This window comes from Homo sapiens, chromosome 2 (assembly GCF_000001405.40).
Source record: "Homo sapiens chromosome 2, GRCh38.p14 Primary Assembly".
NCBI classification, from domain to species: Eukaryota; Metazoa; Chordata; class Mammalia; order Primates; family Hominidae; genus Homo; species Homo sapiens.
Window position 1 is genome coordinate 229,356,427 of NC_000002.12, and position 18,529 is coordinate 229,374,955.

General features: G+C 41.1%; 1 protein-coding gene across 1 annotated transcript in view; it reads right to left on the reverse strand.

Moving 5' to 3' along the window:
• Positions 1 to 1,202: 1,202 nt before the first annotated feature.
• The window catches only part of DNER (delta/notch like EGF repeat containing), a 356,927-nt gene continuing 339,600 nt past the window's right edge, over positions 1,203 to 18,529 (reverse strand). The window contains exons 12-13 of the mRNA NM_139072.4: positions 10,447 to 10,693; positions 1,203 to 2,225 (exon numbers count right to left, since the gene is read on the reverse strand). Coding sequence (NP_620711.3) covers positions 2,114 to 2,225; positions 10,447 to 10,693 — 359 coding nt within the window. The 3' untranslated portion in view covers positions 1,203 to 2,113. The remainder of the gene's footprint in view (positions 2,226 to 10,446; positions 10,694 to 18,529) is intronic.

The window sequence follows — 18,529 nt, forward strand, 5'->3', positions numbered from 1 at the left end:
TGGTGGCCACTCTCAGATGGTCAGAAGGCTCTGCCCAAGATCTGAATTTGCAAGCTCCATTAATTGGCTTTCAAGGGACAAACTGTGATTGATAAAAGACTTTAGTTTTTTAAACAAGTCCTTTAAGAGACATCGCATATAATGAATTTAAGACTTTGGGAGATTGAAAATGATTTCAGAGGGTGTGATTGAAGCAGCTTGCAAATGAAGACCAATAAGCAAAAAAGACACGGAGGCTCAGACAATGTCCAGGTGCTCGTGGGGGTCAAGAGGCAAATGGAGTACAACTCACACCTTTTCATGGCCCTCTCCTATCATCGATCAAGAAGTGTCTGAGCAACACACAACCAAAGGGTCTTTTATAGGAAGATGGGAGTAAGTATGTCTGCACAACACTCTGCTGCATGTTCCCATGACTGTTTAACCAACCAAGTTAATATTTTGTACTTACCTTACTTCCACTTAACTGAAAATATTAATGTATTGCACTGTATCATTTAATAATCAGAATGTGGGTGTACTGCTGTGTCATTTGTAGGATTAGGAACAGATGTTTTGAGGGTAGAGCGGGAAGGAAAAGAACCTTAAATAATTCTTTTTGCTTAAAACTCTCCCTCACACCTGGTTCCAGGACTCCTCTTGGCCTTACCTGACGTTCCTGTGTACAGTTAAAAATGCATTTTTAAAAATAACTCTGGGACTTCAGAGCAGCATTTGGATACAAAATGGAACTGAATATAGGGTGGCTCTAAACGGCCTTCAAGTTTCTAAGAACCATGGAGCTATTTGCTAAGGCAATTTCATTTAGCCTCCACAGGATAGCAGCGCCTCCACAGGATAGCAGCACGCAAGGTATTTCTTGAGGCCACAGGTGCCTGCCCTCAATGCCTGGAAGCATCTCCGGATTCCAGTGTGCCCACCGTTCACTTGTGCTGCATTTCACTGGCAAATTCGGATATAAAACTTCAGATAAGAATTCTTATTTTTTTTCCACACTTCACACTGACAAGCAGCTAGGGTGAGCTTACTGACAATTAGGAGGTCAGAAAGCCTTGCAGAGGCAAAGGAGGGGGCTCCGGCAGCCACAGAGGTGCACTCCTCAGGTTATTTAATATGGTATCAACCATGGGATTGTTTGGCAAACAATATCACATCCAAAACTTTTTATATATAGTTTTCAAAGAACAAAAGAGACAACTGCATCCTTGACTTGATCACATTTATTCAATATGGTTGGAAATTAGCAAGAATCAGAAGAAGCACATATCAATCAAATACAGCCACAAAAACATCCTGGAGATAAATAAAGCTGCACTATGAGAAATACTCACTACTGAAGGAACCAGTACTCTCTTACATTTACTACCTCTTAGCAACAAACAACTCAAATGTAAATTTAATTTACTCACAATATAGAACCCTTGACTTTTTAAAGAAAAATATAGATTCAAATCAATCAGAATTTGCCTCGCTAGGCCTTTTCGTTACGTATGTTTTTGAGGCCTAGTTCGACGACTGTTACGAAAATGACAAAAACAAACTCGAAAGAATGTTTCCACAAAGTTCAACAAAACAGTGCAGAAATAAGTTACTTACCCATGCACAGAATAAGGCAAAGGCTAATTTCATTCGGGTTAGGAATAGTAAATTTAACTAGTTTCTTTTCCACAAAACGAACATTTCAGACTTCTTTTTAAGTAACGGGTATACTCTATTATACATCATATGCTACGTTACGTGGTTTTCCTAACTCTACTCAGAAAGCCGGCACTCAAACGTCAAACAGAAACTTCTCCTTGATTAGACTTATTCTGTAACAACCACAGAAATTAATCTGGGTCTCGTGATAGTGTCTACAGTGAAAAGAGCACACACTAGTAGAAGCACACAGTTTAGAGAGCTGAAGGTACATTAAAACATCGTCTATAGGTTTCACAAATTTTGTTTTTAAAATATTTTTTCCAAACTAAAAGCTGCAGAAAATTAGTTCTTAAATATTCTACTGAAAACTCTTGAGCAGCTAGCATTTTAAATTTCTTAAGCTTTTTATTTTCTTAAAAATATTTAAATGAGTGTAGTATCTCATCTTTTTGAAAAATAATCCAAAAAAAGATTACAAATCTTTAGTTTTAATCAGTGTGACCAAGGGTTTGTCATCAGGACTGTAATCTTCATAGGCGATGGGGCTCACATCATACATTGCAGGCCGGGATTTCTTTCCAAACCTGAAATCAGAGAGAAAGGACTCTGGTTAGATAAATACTAGATCTCAAGTTTAATTAAAGCAAGTGATGAGAATAATTTATATGCATGAATTAAATGAAACTGTAAAAACATATTCTATAGCAAGCATAGAAACTTTAGACATCCTAATATTAACACTGAATGTGTATAAACATTAGTCTTTGGTGTTCGAGGCAAAAAAACATATTTCACAAAATGTAGAGCTCAAAGTTGGAGCTTGCAGGTTAAATCTTGGCAAAGCAGTCAAGCATGACAGCTCCACAATAGATTTTAAGAAAATGTGTATTGATTTGTCTTTTTCTTCTGAGGCCCATAAATATTTGGAGAGGTGAGTTTATTTTATATCTACTCCAGTGCCTGGAATATAGAACACCAGGGCAGTCTTCCCCGGGCCATGGACAGACAGCCTTTCCTGTGGGATTTTCAGGGGATAAGCTGTGAAGGTTTAAGGTCATCTGAGATCCCAACACAAAAGGGCAGAGGTGGGAAATGACTTCAGATACAGAGGTGTCTGTCCACAAACTATGCCAGAACTCACCATTGAATCCCACCCACCTATCACCTCCCAACCTTATGGACACAGAAGCCAATGTTTTCCTCAGAGCACAAAGCCATTGTCCCAACAGATTTGTATGTATCAAAATTGCCTCGACAGCAGGACTGCCTCTCAGAAGCCAAGGGAGTCAAAATCCAATTTCAGGACTTCCTGTCAAACCTGTCGTAAGGTGGCAATTATTAAAATAAAGCCAATTCAACTTCTGGGTGGTCTCTTCCCATTCAAGACCTCACCTTCCCTACAAGCCCTGGAGTGCAACAGGATTCAAACGATCTTCCACACTAACCCATCCTCCCTCCTCCTTTGTCTGGACAACATTTTTTAATTGTTTCAATTCCACCAGGGCTCTTTAAAAAGACATTTTAAAAGAACCTTAAATTTTACAAGGTTCCTAGGATGGGGTCCCTAGGAATTAAAGGGGCTTATTTGCCATGGCTCCTGTCCCAACTCTCCTCTTTTCCTATTTTTTCCTTTGATATGTTGAAAGTCTGTCTTCTCATGTATGGAGATGGGAAGTAGAATCAAGCGGGAAATGAGAAAACAGTGCGTTCTTCATGTGATCTTTCATTTTAAACAGTCATCAATCTTGTATTCCAATCCTCTCAAATTTTACTGGCCTTGAAGAGCACAAAGGCATATGCTATGCCAGACAGGCACCAGGCAAAACACGGGGTTAAAGAGTTAAAGCATTCTACCCTCAGAAAAACCCACAGCTATTACTGCAATATGACAAAAGACTTCAATAAATACTTTCTAAAATGTGAAGCCTCACTGAAGGTCCACCATTGTGCTCACATAGATGTGGGTCAGGCTCTAGCCTGCAGTTTGTTCACCTAAATTGAGTGAGGCCTGCATAATCTAAGGATAGGAAAAGTGTCAACAGAGTAAAAGTGTCAACAGGCCTGTTGGGTCTTACACTTTCTCCCAAGTCTGACAATTTCCTAGGCTGCTTTAAGATGCAAACATTTTGACAATTTATTTCTCATAAAATACCTAGATACACCACCACTAATAATAATTTAACCAAAAATATCCAGCAACCCAGTGAAGAGCTCTCCATATCTAACATAGTAGGATATAGAGAGCTTTGACTTGAGGGCCAACAAATTATATTAACTAACTAATTATTCGATTGGTTGGCTGAAAGGAAAAACCCAATTGTATATATCTTTAAAACATCCTTTTTTTTATTTTTTATTTTTGAGACAGAGTCTCGCACTGTTGCCCAGGCTGGAGTGCAGTGGCGTGGTCTCGGCTCACGCGGCAAGCTCCACCTCCTATGTTCGTGCCATTCTCCTGCCTCAGCTTCCCGAGTAGCTGGGACTACAGGCGCCCGCCACCACGCCCAGCTAATTTTTTGTATTTTTAGTAGAGACGGGGTTTCACTGTGTTAGCCAGGATGGTCTCAATCTCCTGACCTCGTGATCCACCCGCCTCGGCCTCCCAAAGTGCTGAGATTACAGGCGTGAGCCACAGATCCACTGAGTATGACAAGGCAAGGGCTGATGCCTCTCAAGAGTGAGCCACATGGCCACCTATGCATGTTCAAGGTCAACTGAAGAGCAAGGAGCACCACTCTGTGTCCACACTGGTTAACTGAGCTGTGTGGCCCGGTCCTAATGGGATTAACTCCAAACAAGTATGGGTCATAAAGTATAATGCTAGTTACGAAGGTGGTTAAAATAAGACTAATAGCCCCAGCACCAGAAGAGAGAGCAGGCAGGCTTGGAGCTGGAATCCCTGCATTTCAACTTACTAGCTGCTGAGAACTTTGTCCAAATTCCTTAGGAGAATTTTGGAGGTTTCCACCTGAAATGCTGTATCTACCATATGGAAGCTAAAATGACGTCGTTTATAGAAACACCACAGTTTTAAAACACACAGTACAATGAAAAGACTTTGTTTGAATCTCCTACACCTCTCACAGTAGCAGGCTTACACTTGTTGGTAAACGAATGTGCATTCATGTCTACATTTAAAAGACTAACAGTGTTTTTTTTTTTAATATCTCAGGCACTAAATCAATGTCAGAGGCTGTTTATTTTATTGCAGGCATTTTCATGCAAGTGTTCATTTTAAAAATAACTACTACTTTTTATCATAAAGGTACATTTTAAATGTAAAAAAAAACCAAAATAAAATTGGAAGCTAGAGAAAATTATAAAATAGACTAGGGGTTAGCAAACTATAGTCCACAGGCCAATTCCAGCCTGATGCCTGTTTTTCAAATAAAGTCTTAGTTGAACATAGTCAAGCCTATTCACACTTCCTCTGGCTGCTTTTGCACAACAAAGGCTGAGTTGAGTAGTCAGGACAATATGGCCTGCAAAGTCTAAAACATTTTACAGGTCCCTGATGAAGACCACAAGAATCGCCCTTAGTGCTGCTCTCCAAAGGACGTGTCAATGTTTTGTGCATTATTCTTCAGTCTGCCCATCCCTCAATCCCACATCCCTTCCATTCATTTTACAAATATGTATGAAGCCCCTCTGAAAGTATTATATATAATAATTATATTACATATTTTAACAAAATTGAGAAAATACTCTGAATACTGTATTGAGACTGACTTTTTTCAATCGATAGTCTGTGTAATGTTTTACTCAGCATTCTTGTTAAGTAAAAAAAAAAAATTCCTACAAGTTAAAACATTAATAAGAAAATGTTTCTTCTGTGCTGGGTGGGGCGGGCTGGGTGGAACACTTAGTGTTCATAGTAACATGTTCCCACCTGAAGTAGCTCATGGCCCACGACATGACCACAGACCATGACACTTGGGAAATGTCTGCTGATGGTCCATGAGGAAGCCAGATCTTTAAAAGATGGGAAGGAGTTGACACACTCCCCCTCCTCCTGAAAAAATAGCTCAAATACCCTAATGTGGTGGCTCCATCTGCGGCTCCTTCCTAGCCCCTCGAGGGGTGATGCATCCATTGTCCTTGGTGCTCACTCAACATCACATTCCATTGTCTTGTTTTCACTGATTGATCATCTCATCTCATCATCATAACAACCTCGTGAAGTGAGTACATCTCATTTATCCTGTATTACAGATGAGGAAACAGACACTTAGGAATAATTTTCCTAAGGTCACACCTGGTGGGAGGTGGAGCTTTCTGGCTTCCAAGCCTAGATGCTGAACACTTCGTTGCAACCTTCATGCATGTGACGACCCCATAAACTGAAGCTCTCACTTAACCTGTGCCTGACAAGAGGCTATGTACTTCTGCATTGAAAGGCATCACCTTCAAATCAGCACATCCTCCTTCTCATTAACAAACTCTGGCTTACAAATCTCACTTACAAGTCCTGGTTTTCTCACAAACTCTGTGACCCTTGTGTAAATTGTATTATCTCACTAAGCCCAAATTTCTTTTGCCTATAATGGGGGACTAATGATACATGGTCCCCTACATTCTTGTGAGATGCTTGCCAATGAGTTATTTGTGAATGATTTAGCACAGTGTCTGGCCCACGGGAAGCTTTCAGTAAGTGTTGGCCATCACAGAGGCACTAACAGAAATGACAGCACCAGTAATATCAGTTAGCACGGACATCTCAAACATCCTATTTGGTGACAAGTCTTGTGTGTCTATTTCTTCAAAGAAACAAAAGATACTGTAACCAGTTATAAGGCAGGTCAAAGAGCCGCTAGTTCATGGTCCTCTGAAAGTCAACCACTAAAACAATGCCGCAGAAAGAATGTCAGATCTTGAGAAAGGCCAAAATTGGAAGGTTTTGAGCTATTGGGGAAAAAAACTGAACATGTCCTCCATTGTCTTTTTCCCGTGATCAGGCACTTCTAGCTCGTAGAGCAGTCAACTGAGTGGGACCTCAGTGTCAGAACTTGGAGAACCCTGGCTTTGCTCCTGCTGGTCAGTTACAAGCTCTTCCCTGCCTGAGTACAAGCAAAGCAAGCATGTTGCAGATGACTCCTGGGATGAGGAAGAGAGGGAGGGGTCTCCTTCTCAACCCTACTAGGAGTTACAACCAACAGACTCTGACATCAGAATCACCCGACACAGCCTCAGTCACTCGTGTGACCCACTCCATGTGCCCTGTGTGGCTGCTGGGCTGCAGTCATTCTGATCCAATGTCACCTCCAGGATAGTAGCAGTGAGACAGCCCATAAAATGGACACTGGCTGCTGAAAACTATGGAGAGGATAACATCAAAAGGTCTAAGTTTTTGCCAATGCCTTTCTAGGGTTTCCAGGAAAAGAGGGCCAATCAGCCTGAGACCCAGCCATGGCCTCTACACAGCCATGCTGTAGAAACCCCAGGTTGGAGCTGAATAAACGTTCAGAAGAGAAGTTTTCCTAAAGGGAAAGTATTGTTTTAATGTCAATAGTTTTATCTGCAGTCACTGGTGCATGCAGGAGCTTGCCCGTTAGGAATTCCGCAGTAAATATTTTTGATATAAATCAGCACCAAATAAGAGCCAGGTTTGTAAATGCTTTCAAGTTTATTCTTTCCTTCCAAGAGTATTCAGTTAAATATCTTCCCCATGGGCCATATGAGCAGAAGGCTCAGCAGAATCTATCTTAAACTATTTTGGGGCTGAGTTAAACACTCCACCACTTGAGCCCTGAAGGATCGTAGCCATGGATGCCTGTAGGGGCAGAGGGAATCCTAATTGTCTCCCAACACATGAGAATACAATGCCATGGATTCTGCTCCCTCCTGGTAAAAAAGCCCCTCCAGGAATGATGAGGACAGAAAAGGTTCTTGGGCACCAAAGAAACTTGTCAATTCTCTGCTTTTTTTTTTTTTTTTTTTTTTTTTTTTCTGAGACAGAGTCTCCCTCTGTCGCCCAGGCTGGGGTGATGGAGTTTCACCTTGTTAGCCAGGATGATCTCTATCTCTTGACCTCATTATCCGCCCTCCTCAGCCTCCCAAAGTGCTGGGATTACAGGTGTGAGCCACATGCCTGGCCTCCTCTGCTCCTTTTTAAGTTCTTCATCTCCAATCCAGTAATTTCAGGATACTGCAAATGTTCCTCTAGGCTGGGGCCACTTACTGAGTTGGTGCCCTGGGATGAGTCTACCTCTCAAGCCGGTCAAGGCACCCTATTCCAACCCCTAACTGAGATCATCCATTCATTTCAAACCTCAAATGTTAATGAGGTCTACTACCTGCCAGGACCCACTGGAGACATAGAAATAAAAGCTACTACCCTTTATTTACAGGGTAGTGGCATAAAGAGTCAAATAAACAATTAAGGTGGGGCTTGCAAGGGTTGGTATCAGGGCTTCCTGGTTGTTGTATTGCCTCAGTTCGCTCTGAAAGGAAGGCGCTAAGATGAGCAGCCATGCAGGGTCCAAGCTGGAGGAGGGTTGAGTTCTCTGTCCTCCCTCGCAGTTACATAAGCAAGACTGGGTGCAGCTCCCACCTCAGCACTGGTGCAGATGCTCAGGGTCTCCCAAGTTCTCCCTCCCACTGGCTCCTCCCCATGGAAGCTGAGTTCTGGCTTTTGCTTCTATTAGAATGACAAGATCACTGTAAGATCTGAGAATTGGGTTTGGGGAATTTCTTTTGGAGAAAGCAAACTCTTCGAACCTCTTAGCTTCTATGCCATTCAGATAGAATAATTTGGGTTTTCTCATGTCTCTCTCTCTCTTTTTTTTTTTTTTTTTTTTTTTTTAGGTAGAGTCTTGCTCTGTCACCCAGGCTGGAGTGCAGTGGTGTCATCTCAGCTCACTGCAACCTCCACCTCGTGGGTTCAAGTGATTCTCCTGCCTCAGCCTCCAGAGTAGCTGGGATTACAGTGCTTATCTTTGTCGTTGCTGTTATGATACATTTAGGTAGATATAAGAAAACATTCATGATATTTCACTTTTACTTCTTATCATTCCCACTGTAACCAGAATCTGAAGCTACACTTTCCCAATATGTACCTAGTAAAAGCTAAGTAGAAATTCAAAAGAAACACAGAACCCATTGATGAAGGATAAAAATCTCAGTGAAGAAGGGCAGACGTGTCCCAAAGGAGCACAGCTGTGAAGGTGACTGCAGCTGACTCTTAGGCTGCCTGATTTGGAACTTTGGAAATGAGGAGGAGTCACAGAGACAGTACCCAGGAAGGATGCTCAACCTCTACGGGCCTGCCCAGGTCAGATAATAAAAAGTCCTTGATGGAAACAAGACGGAGATGAAAAGGACAGAAAAGAGAAAGGATGTGGATATGTGCTGTTGAGATAGAAAACCCAGGGATTTTTGTTTTTGTTTTGAGACAGAGTCTCTATCTGTCGACCAGGTTGGAGTGCAGTGGTGCCATCTCAGCTTACTGCAACCTCCGATTCCCAGGTTCAAGCGATTCTCCTTCCTCACCCTCCAGAGTAGCTAGGATTACAGGCACCCGCCACCATGCCTGGCTAATTTTTGTATTTTAGTAGAGACAGGGTTTCACCAAGTTGGCCAGGCTGGTGTAGAACTCCTGACCTCAAGTGATCCACCTGCCTTGGCCTCCCAATGTGCTGGGATTGCAGGCGTGAGGCAGCACACCCAGCCAGGTCTTCTCATGTCTTGACCGATACCAACATAGGACATCCCAAGATAGATCATATAGCACCCATTTCCCTTGAGCCCCAATCTTAAGGCACCAAGCTCAGCCCACTTTTCACTACAGCACACTTACTTTCTGAATTGTGTGCTTGAGATTATTCAATTAACAAAAGAAGAGATGGCTTACTTCAACAAACAATATTGCTATTTTTGGAACACATACTCTGCAAAAGTCAGTAAAATGTTATCTTAGTTGATTGTTTAATGTTATATAATAGATTTGGAGAAGTAAATATGGGGTTTTCTGTTCATACCATCTTTAATATTTGTAATGGATGCTGGGCTTAATACCTAGGTGATGGGTTGATCTGTGCAGCAAGTCACCATGGCACAAGTTTACTTATGTAACCAACCTGCTCATCCTGCACATGTATCCCAGAACTTAAAACAAAAGTTGAAGGAAAAAGTATATATATTTGTAATTTAATATGACTGTCATGACTCTCCAAGGAGGGAGAGTTATCCCTTTATACAGTTGAGGGAGCTATATTTGTGGAAAGTTAAAAGATCCGTCTAAACTACCGAGTCAGGTAACGGAGTCATTAAGACTCAAAGCTATACCTCACCAGAACTTACACTCTTTCTATGACACCACACTAACTCCTTGTCCCTCTGGAGTCCTTCTTCCAGAAAAGGATACTGATTTATAAATATTCACTCTAAAAGTAGAAAGATAGCTCTTTATCCTTCTTTTGCTAGGCCCTTACGTCAAATGAAATCATTTATATGTTGACTGTTTGAAGAGCAACAGGGCAAAAGACATTCCCCAAAAAAATTCAACAAAAAAAGTTTTCAATATACAGCGATTACGAATCAGATATTTATAGTCACAGAGCAACCCAAATTAGATGAACAAATATATTCAATGTAAACAAAACAAAGCAAAAGGAAAAGCTAGCAGCAAATTAAAAGGAGTTTGCTTATCAAGTGGTCGAATGATCTATCCCCAAATACAATGTGGAACCTATTTTCCATTCTTTAAAATCTCCTCTTTGCAAATGGAAAGTCCTGTGTATAATATGACCCTGTTCCCAAGAATGCACATGTGAAGGCAGCATTCCCCACGCCGCCCCCACAGCCAACCTGGCATGCCGGATGGATGCAATGGCATTGCTGAACTCGCTGTCGATGCTGCGGCAGTTGTAGAACTCCTCATAGGCTGGCCTGGAAGAACCCTGGTATTCAATGCGGCTGATGCGGCAAATCCCCACGATCAGGATGATCAGCATAAGGATGAAGGCCACGCAGAGGGCTCCAATGATGATGTAGAGGGAGTGCCGTGGCATGTTGGTGAGGCTCTCCGCCATGTGCCCGGACTTCCATTGGAGGTCTGCAGGCAAAAATAAGCAAATGGCTGGGTATGAGTTGTCACCTTTGAGAATGAGAAGGCCTTTTTCATCTTTGCATAGATAACTTAAAACCTAAGGGCCATTCAAACTTGGAAGGCTTATTTTCTACGGATTATCCAGACCCAGGGTTAATATCCTTACTACATAAGGACTTCTTAAGAATAACTAAGAAAAACTACAGGCCGGGCACAGTGGCTGACGGCTGTAATCCCAGCACTTTGGGAGGCTGAGGCAGGTGGATCACTTGAGGTCAGGAGTTTGAGACCAGCCTGGCCAACATGGTAAAACCTCATCTCTACTAAAAATACAAACATTAGCTGGGCGTGGTGGTGGATGTCTGTAATCCCAGCTACTCGGGAGGCTGAGGCAGTAGAATCACTTGAACTCGGGAGGCGGAGGTTGCAGTGAGCCAAGATTGCACCACTGCACTCCAGCCTGGGCAACAGAGTGAGACTCCATCAAACAAAAAAAGAAAAACCAGAAATATGCCACAGAAAAACAAAGGATATAAGGAGGAATTCATCAAAAAAATACAAATAGAAAATTACTTGGCTTCAGAATTACAAAAAAGTACAATTCCTCTATCAGCTCCCAAATATTACTTTAAAATTATAACCACAGTTGGAAGGGTACCCAGAAATAAGGACTACAAGTTGATACATAACCGTTTCATTTACTAATTAGCATATGCTCTGACCCAGATATTCCCATTTTAGGATTTATGCTGGGGAAGTAGCTCAGGAAATGCATAAAGCCTTATGTGTGAAGATGCTTATCTTCATATCACAATTTTTCAATGTTATCACCTATTCCATATTTAGAAAAAGGCTCAGAAAATCACACAGACAACCATGTACTCACTGCTCAGTTAATAATGTTAATATTTTACCATTTTTCTTTAGATTTTTTTTCAGATAGTTTTTTAAAAAGAAATAAAATATGGCTGGGCATGGTGGCTCATGCTTGTAATCCCAGCACTTTGGGAGGCCAAGGCAGGCAGATTGTTTTGAGCTTAGGAGTTTGAGACCAGCCTGAGCAGTATGGCAAAACCGTTTCTCTACAAAAAATACAAAAATTAGCCAGGCATAGTGGCACATGCCTGTGGTCCTGGCTACTCAGGAAGCTGAGGCTAGAGAATCACTTGAACCTGGGAGATGGAGGTTGCAGTGAGCCAAGATCACACCAACACACTCCAGTCTGGGCAACAGAGTGAGACCCTGTCTCAAAAGAAGAAAAAACACACACACACAAATATAGCTAGACTTCCCTCACCCCATACTCTCTCTCCATTCCACCAGCAACAGCATAATTTATTAAAGTCAAAAAATAAAAATCTAAATATTTAACACTCAGTGAGATGAAAAGATATCCACTAAACAACAAAAGAATAAAAGCATGTTACCAAACAGGATCTACTTGGACAGTACAATAATTTCACAATATCTTATGAGTTTAAAATGTCTATATACACATTGAAAAGGTCAAAAGGATAGTATGATAATGATGGCAAACATATATTGATTTCTTATTATAAACTAAGCTCTTTAAAAACAGCTCATTTAATCATTATAACCACCAGAAGATACATTATTCTCTCTCCCCACTTTACAAAGGAGGCCTAGAGAACTGACATCACTTGGAGTGAATGCCTCTGATACAAGTCAGAATCTGAGGTCTTGGCCTTTGCACAGCAACATACTAACAACAGTGATCTCTAAAAGACAGGATTAAAAATGATTATTTTCCTCTGTATATGTCTGAGTCTTTTCCAGATTTTTAAAAATAAGAATGTATTCCTTTTCCAATAAAGAAATATGCAATACATTATTTAAAGAAGACATTTGTAGGATCATCTTCCAGCATAAGAGTGGAAATAGTATCAGCCTTGGGATCACACCAACCTTGCTTTCAATCCAGCTCCTACATTTACTTGATCTCCTTGAGCTTCGGTTTCTTTGTTTGTAAAATGGAAATAACAACATATACCCCATTGGCTTGCTGCAGCATGAGTTAGGAAACATGTTTTTAAAACATTTAAAACTTTTTAACTTTCTAAAAAGTTAAACTTTCTAAAAAGTTAAAAAAAGGTTTTAACTTCCTAAAAAGTTTAAAAAAAAAGTTTTAACTTTCTAAAAAGTTAAAAAAAAGTTTTAACTTTCTAAAAAGTTAAAAAAAAGTTTTAACTTTCTAAAAAGTTAAAAAAAAGTTTTAACTTTCTAAAAAGTTAAAAAAAAGTTTTAACTTTCTAAAAAGTTAAAAAAAAGTTTTAACTTTCTAAAAAGTTAAACAAAAAGTTTCAACTTTCTAAAAAGTCAAAAAAAAAGTTTCAACTTTCTAAAAAGTTAAAAAAAAAAAGTTTCAACTTTCTAAAAAAGTTAAAGAGTCCACTCCTGGACATGTGGTGGTGGTCCCTAAAGAGGACCAGCTGTGGTGGTGGAGGAGGGAAGGATAAAGGGTCACATGCTGTTCCCTAAGGCACATGCTCTGAGCTGAGGATTACTGAGCATGGCCCTGTGTCCTTCCTAAAAGCACCAACCTGTATTAGCAGGAAAAACTGGAAGGACACAATGTAATCTCTGTGATTGGCGTAGGTCAAGAACATCAAGTTACTTCCTGTTTATAGATCTGCACCCAAATGAAACTATCTAGATAGCGTATACAAGATTTGAAAAGAAATTGTGGAAATTTTAAAGAGCTAGGTAAGACCAAACAGAAGCTGAACTCATATGGAAAAAAGGATGCTTTCTCTACTTTACTCACACCACCACCACCACCATTCCACACTTCCCCACCCACACCAGGACATCATTTTCATGGTAGAATTCCAAGTGCCTGCAAATGAGATTCAGAGGTTAGTGGAAATGGAAATGAGCCTGTCTTTCCATGAAATCCACAGGACTCTTCTCACTGTCCATTATCGTTGAGAGTATTTGTGGCCTCTGGATACTCACACCTTCATCTTAGCTGTATCTTCAGTCATCATAGATCTAAGAATCACAATTAGCTATTCCTTACCTTGAAAAGCTGCAGTCAGTCTGAAGAAGAGCACAGATAGACACCCAAACAGGGGGCCAGGCCTGCAGACCCACTTTCTAGAAGCTAACAGAAAAATGACCCACGTGCCCATCCTGGATGCTTCCTGAGAATCTGAGAACAGATGAATAATGTGATTTCTGAGTTTGCATCCAGACCCTCCTGAATATTTCACCAAAACCTTTGAAGCCTGGTTTGTCATTTGAGTCTGCCTGCCTGAGCTCATAAGGCCCACGGAGCTTAGTAAAACTAAATGACCATTACTGCATTGACTGCTTCATTTAAGCCAACTCACATACAGGCAGACTGAGTAACATAAATCACCAGAAACAGTCACGATGGAAGGGAGAAGGTGTTTGGGGAAAGCAGAACCAAGGCTCAATCCCCAAATCTGCAGCCATCTCATTTGGCAATACCTGGTGTGCACTGAGAGAGACAACTCATTTTTCTGGCTGAAAAAGCAAGCGTGATTCACTTCATTTCCAAGTATTATAACATTCTCTAAAAAATTCAGTTGCAGGCAGGAGTCCAACACTCAGCAGAGTATGTTATAACATCCATTTAGCATCAACACAAGGGCAGCCAGTACTATGTTTCTCCTCCAACTCGGTAGAGTGCTCAGATCTGATCACTATGGAAGATCACATGAGTTCTTGATGAGTTCTTGCAGTCTACGCATAAGCTTCATAGCATTAACCTACACATCACATCAATTGTGTATACACAGTGAGTGCACAACCACATGGCCACTAAAGTGAAAAAAACAACCATACTGGGCTATGTGCTCAGTGCAGTGTCCCAGGTCTGACTGCTTGCATTTATGACCATCTGCTCCGTTTCCCAAAACTCTGTATTCCAAGCTGTTCGGACTTTTGGAAAAACTTTCTCAAGATTTCTCCTAAAAGCTCTGCTTTCCTCTCTCCCCCTGCCCTTTTCTTTAAAGCTAGATTCCACCTCACTGTCATCTAAAACTTTTTTGATACAAATGACTGTGGCTGCTTTACAGGCTAATTGGTTTAGTAGCTGGGATGGATCTGGCTAAGTCCAACGCTAGGTCTGAGAGACAGCAAATTTATCTATGCCAGGTGCCTGCAACCACCATCTCTCAGTCCAGATGCTATCCTCATAAGTCATTGCTTTGCTGCATCCCAGGAGTCTCATCACATGAATTGTTGACTATGTTTGCTACAGCATGGCACTGGGAAGAATTGTGAACCAGAATATGCCAGATGGGTTCATCTCATCAGCCCCAGCAGGTGCATGACCAGGAATGCATGTGCACGAGCTGCTCAAGAAAAATGTCACGCTTGTGAGTCTGACAGATCATTTTCATGTTTTTAAACTAGATTTGTTTGAGGTGTTGTATTTTCCAAAGTGCTTTTGCATTAAGCATTTCAGTTGGCCCTAAACAAACACCTTGAGCTAGGCAGAGGTGCTAAACTTGGAGCAGTTGCTCAAGGTGAGGCAGACAGTCAGTGGCCAAGCTGAGAATAAAATCAGACCCACCTCCACTCTGCCAAAAAGAGACTCCAGTCAATTTACATATTGCATCTAAAATACATAGCCCATATCTATTTTTTAATTTACCTAGATGAATGTAGCTACACTAGTTAATTTGCTTACCTATGTTATTTTTAAAAAGAGCAAGTTATTTTTAAAAAGAGCAAGTTAAAAATACCTATGTTATTTTTAAAAAGACTGTTTCTTAAGAAGATGTTACTTAGCTTAAGAATTTTTAAGACTACTTGTTGCCTAGAACAATTGTGAGGAGGGATGTCAAATTACTTTGTTTTCTATAGTTAAAGGTTAGCAGGACAATCAAAGCAGTCAGTGAGATTGAAAAAGATTAACAACTCTTGTTAATCTCTGGAAGAGGAATGAATGCGAAAAGGGAATGAAAGAGATCGTCTCCTTTATGGGGATCCATTCACTGAGCACATTAATTAAGGACCTACTATGTGCCAGGCACAGTGCTGAGTGACAGGGATGGAAAGCAAGGGAAAATAGAGAGAAAAGTAGGCTCATGTAGTCCCCAGTTTTCTGAGGGATGCAGGGATCAGGCAAATGATCCCCAAAACAAAGTAAAAGTACAACTGTGCTATGTCTACAAGGGACGAGCTCTTCAGTGCAGCAGGAGGACAGGAGATATTTTACCTCACTGACTGCCAAGAGAGCTTGCACAACAGGAGCCCTTACGGAGTTAGGTTATGAGTGGGCACTAACCAGGGACGGGCAAGAGCAGAGGGGAGACTGCACAGGCAAAGAACCAGAGTGAGCACAGGCCTGTGGGAGGGGGGTGAGGGAGAAGAACAAGGGCTGGAAGAACAGCATGACTGCTTGAGAGAGAGGCAGAGAGTGGCTGCAGCAAGGAGAAGGGATCTCCTTGAAGGATAGGGCAGTGTGGCCTTGGGTCTTTAGTAACTTATTTATTTTAATAGGAGCTTGGCACAGTCAGTGTTGGAAACAGTGGGAGGGAGGGTCTGAGTGTTCCAATTTGCACTTTGAAAAGATCCTTCTGGCTGTGCATGAAGAAAGGGTTTGAGGAGCAAGGACAGAGGCTGGTTCAGAGGCTCCTGTAGGACGGGGCAGGGTTAGTGGTAACTTGACCTATGGTGATGGGCATGGAGACAGAGAGAGGGGAATGGATGTGAGTGCTGTGTTAGGGGGGAATCAACCAGACTAAATGCAGCTTGTACAGATAGGCCAATGAGGGGAGAGAAACCAGGAGGCCAATTCCTGGTTTCCTGGCTTTTATCGTTGGATGGATGAGGTGCTGTAGCCGAGTGAGACGACCAGATTTGAGAGGAAGATTCTGAGTTTGGTTTTATACATGTTAAATTGGAGGTACCAATTCTGGACATGGGCTTTGGGAAAGAACATATAACTAAATCCTCAAAAGCAATCGCAACAAATGCAAAAATTGACAAGTGAGACCTAATTAAACTAAAGAGCACAGCAAAAGAAACTATTGACAGAGTAAACAGACAACCGACAGAAGAGGAGAAAATATTCGCAAATGATGCATCCAAGAAAGGTCTAATACCCAGAATCTGTAAGAAACTTAAACAATTGAACAAACAAAAACCAAATAACCTCATTCAAAAGTGGGCAGGAGATATGCACAGACACTTCTTAAAAGAAAGCATGTAAGTGGCCAACAAACATGAAAAAATGCTCAACATCACTAATTATCAGAGAAATGCAAATCAAAACCACAATAAGATAATCACGTCCCACCAGTCAGAATGGCGATGATTAAAAAGTCAAGAAACAACAGATATTGGCAAGGCTGAGGGAAAAAGGGAACACGGTGTTGGTGGAAATGTAAATTAGTTCAGCCACTGTGGAAAGCAGTTTGGAGATTTCTCAAAGAATTTAGAACCACTATTCAACTCAGCAATCTCATTACTGGGTATGTATCCAAAAGAAAACAAATTGTTCTACCAAAAAAGCACAGGCACTTGCACGTTCACTGCAGCACTATTCACAATAGCAAAGATACAGAATCAACCAAGGTGCCTGCCCATCAAAGATGGATTGAATAAAGAAAATGTGGTACATATACAGCATGGAATACCATGCAGCCATAAAAAAAGAGTGAAATCATGTCATTTGCAGCAATATGGATGCAGTTGAAGGCCATTATCCTAAGTGAATTAACATAGGAGCAGAAAAACAAACACCACATGTTCTCACTTATAAGTGGGAGCTGGCCAGGCACGGTGGCTCACACCTGTAATCCCAGCAGTTTGGGAGACCGAAGTGGGTGGATAGCTTTGATCTTAGGAGTTCCAGACCAGCCTGGCCAACATGGAAAAACTCCATCTCTACTAAAAATACAAAAAAAGTAGCCAGGTGTCATGGTACATTTCTGTAATCCCAGCTACTTGGAAGCCTGAGGCACAAGAATGGCTTGAGCCTGGGAAGCGAAGGGTGCAGTGAGCTGAGATCGCACCAGTGAACTCCAGCCTGGGTGAGACCCTGTCTTAAAAAAGAAAAAAAAATAGGAGCTGAACATCAGGTACTTGTGGATATAGAGGCCACAACAATAGACATTAGGGACTACTAGGGAGTAAGGAAAGGAAGGGGGGAAATGGTTAAAAAACTAATGGGGACTATAGTCAGTACCTGGGCGACAGGATCATTCATATCCCAAACCTCAGCATCACACAATGTACCCAGGTAAAAACCTGCACATGTGCTCCTTGAATCTAAAATAAAAGTTGAATAAACAAATAAATGAATTGGAAGTACCTTTAAGACACCCAAGTAGTTATGTCTAATAGTTAAATTTTGATGTTTAGCTCATCATTTTGGTTAGTAAGAGCTGATATTTATTGAGGGTTCCATTTGTGCTGGACACTAAGTGTTAAGGCGTTAACTCACCTATTCCTCCTACAATGCTTTGAGGTAGACACTATTATTGCCTTCATTTTATATAGGAAGCAACTGAGACTCTAAGAGGAAAGCTATGTGCCCAGGGTTACACACAGTAAGTGGCAGCCCCTGAGTTTAAGCCCAGGTGCCCTGGTTCTAAAGCCACACACTTCAATCAATAAGGAATGTTTTGCAAACTGTAGATTGTAGAAATCAATGTAATGGGGCCAGACTCACATTTAAAAAAAAAAATTTAGAGAACTATTTCAGAGTTTGTACACTTATAAAAAGTTAAGTATTATTTTATGTTGTGTGTGTTTGTGTGTATATTAGGCTGTGTGTTACATGCAGCGTCAAGATGTAAAACATACTACTTACTGTGGGTTGCACTCAAAAGGCATGAAAAG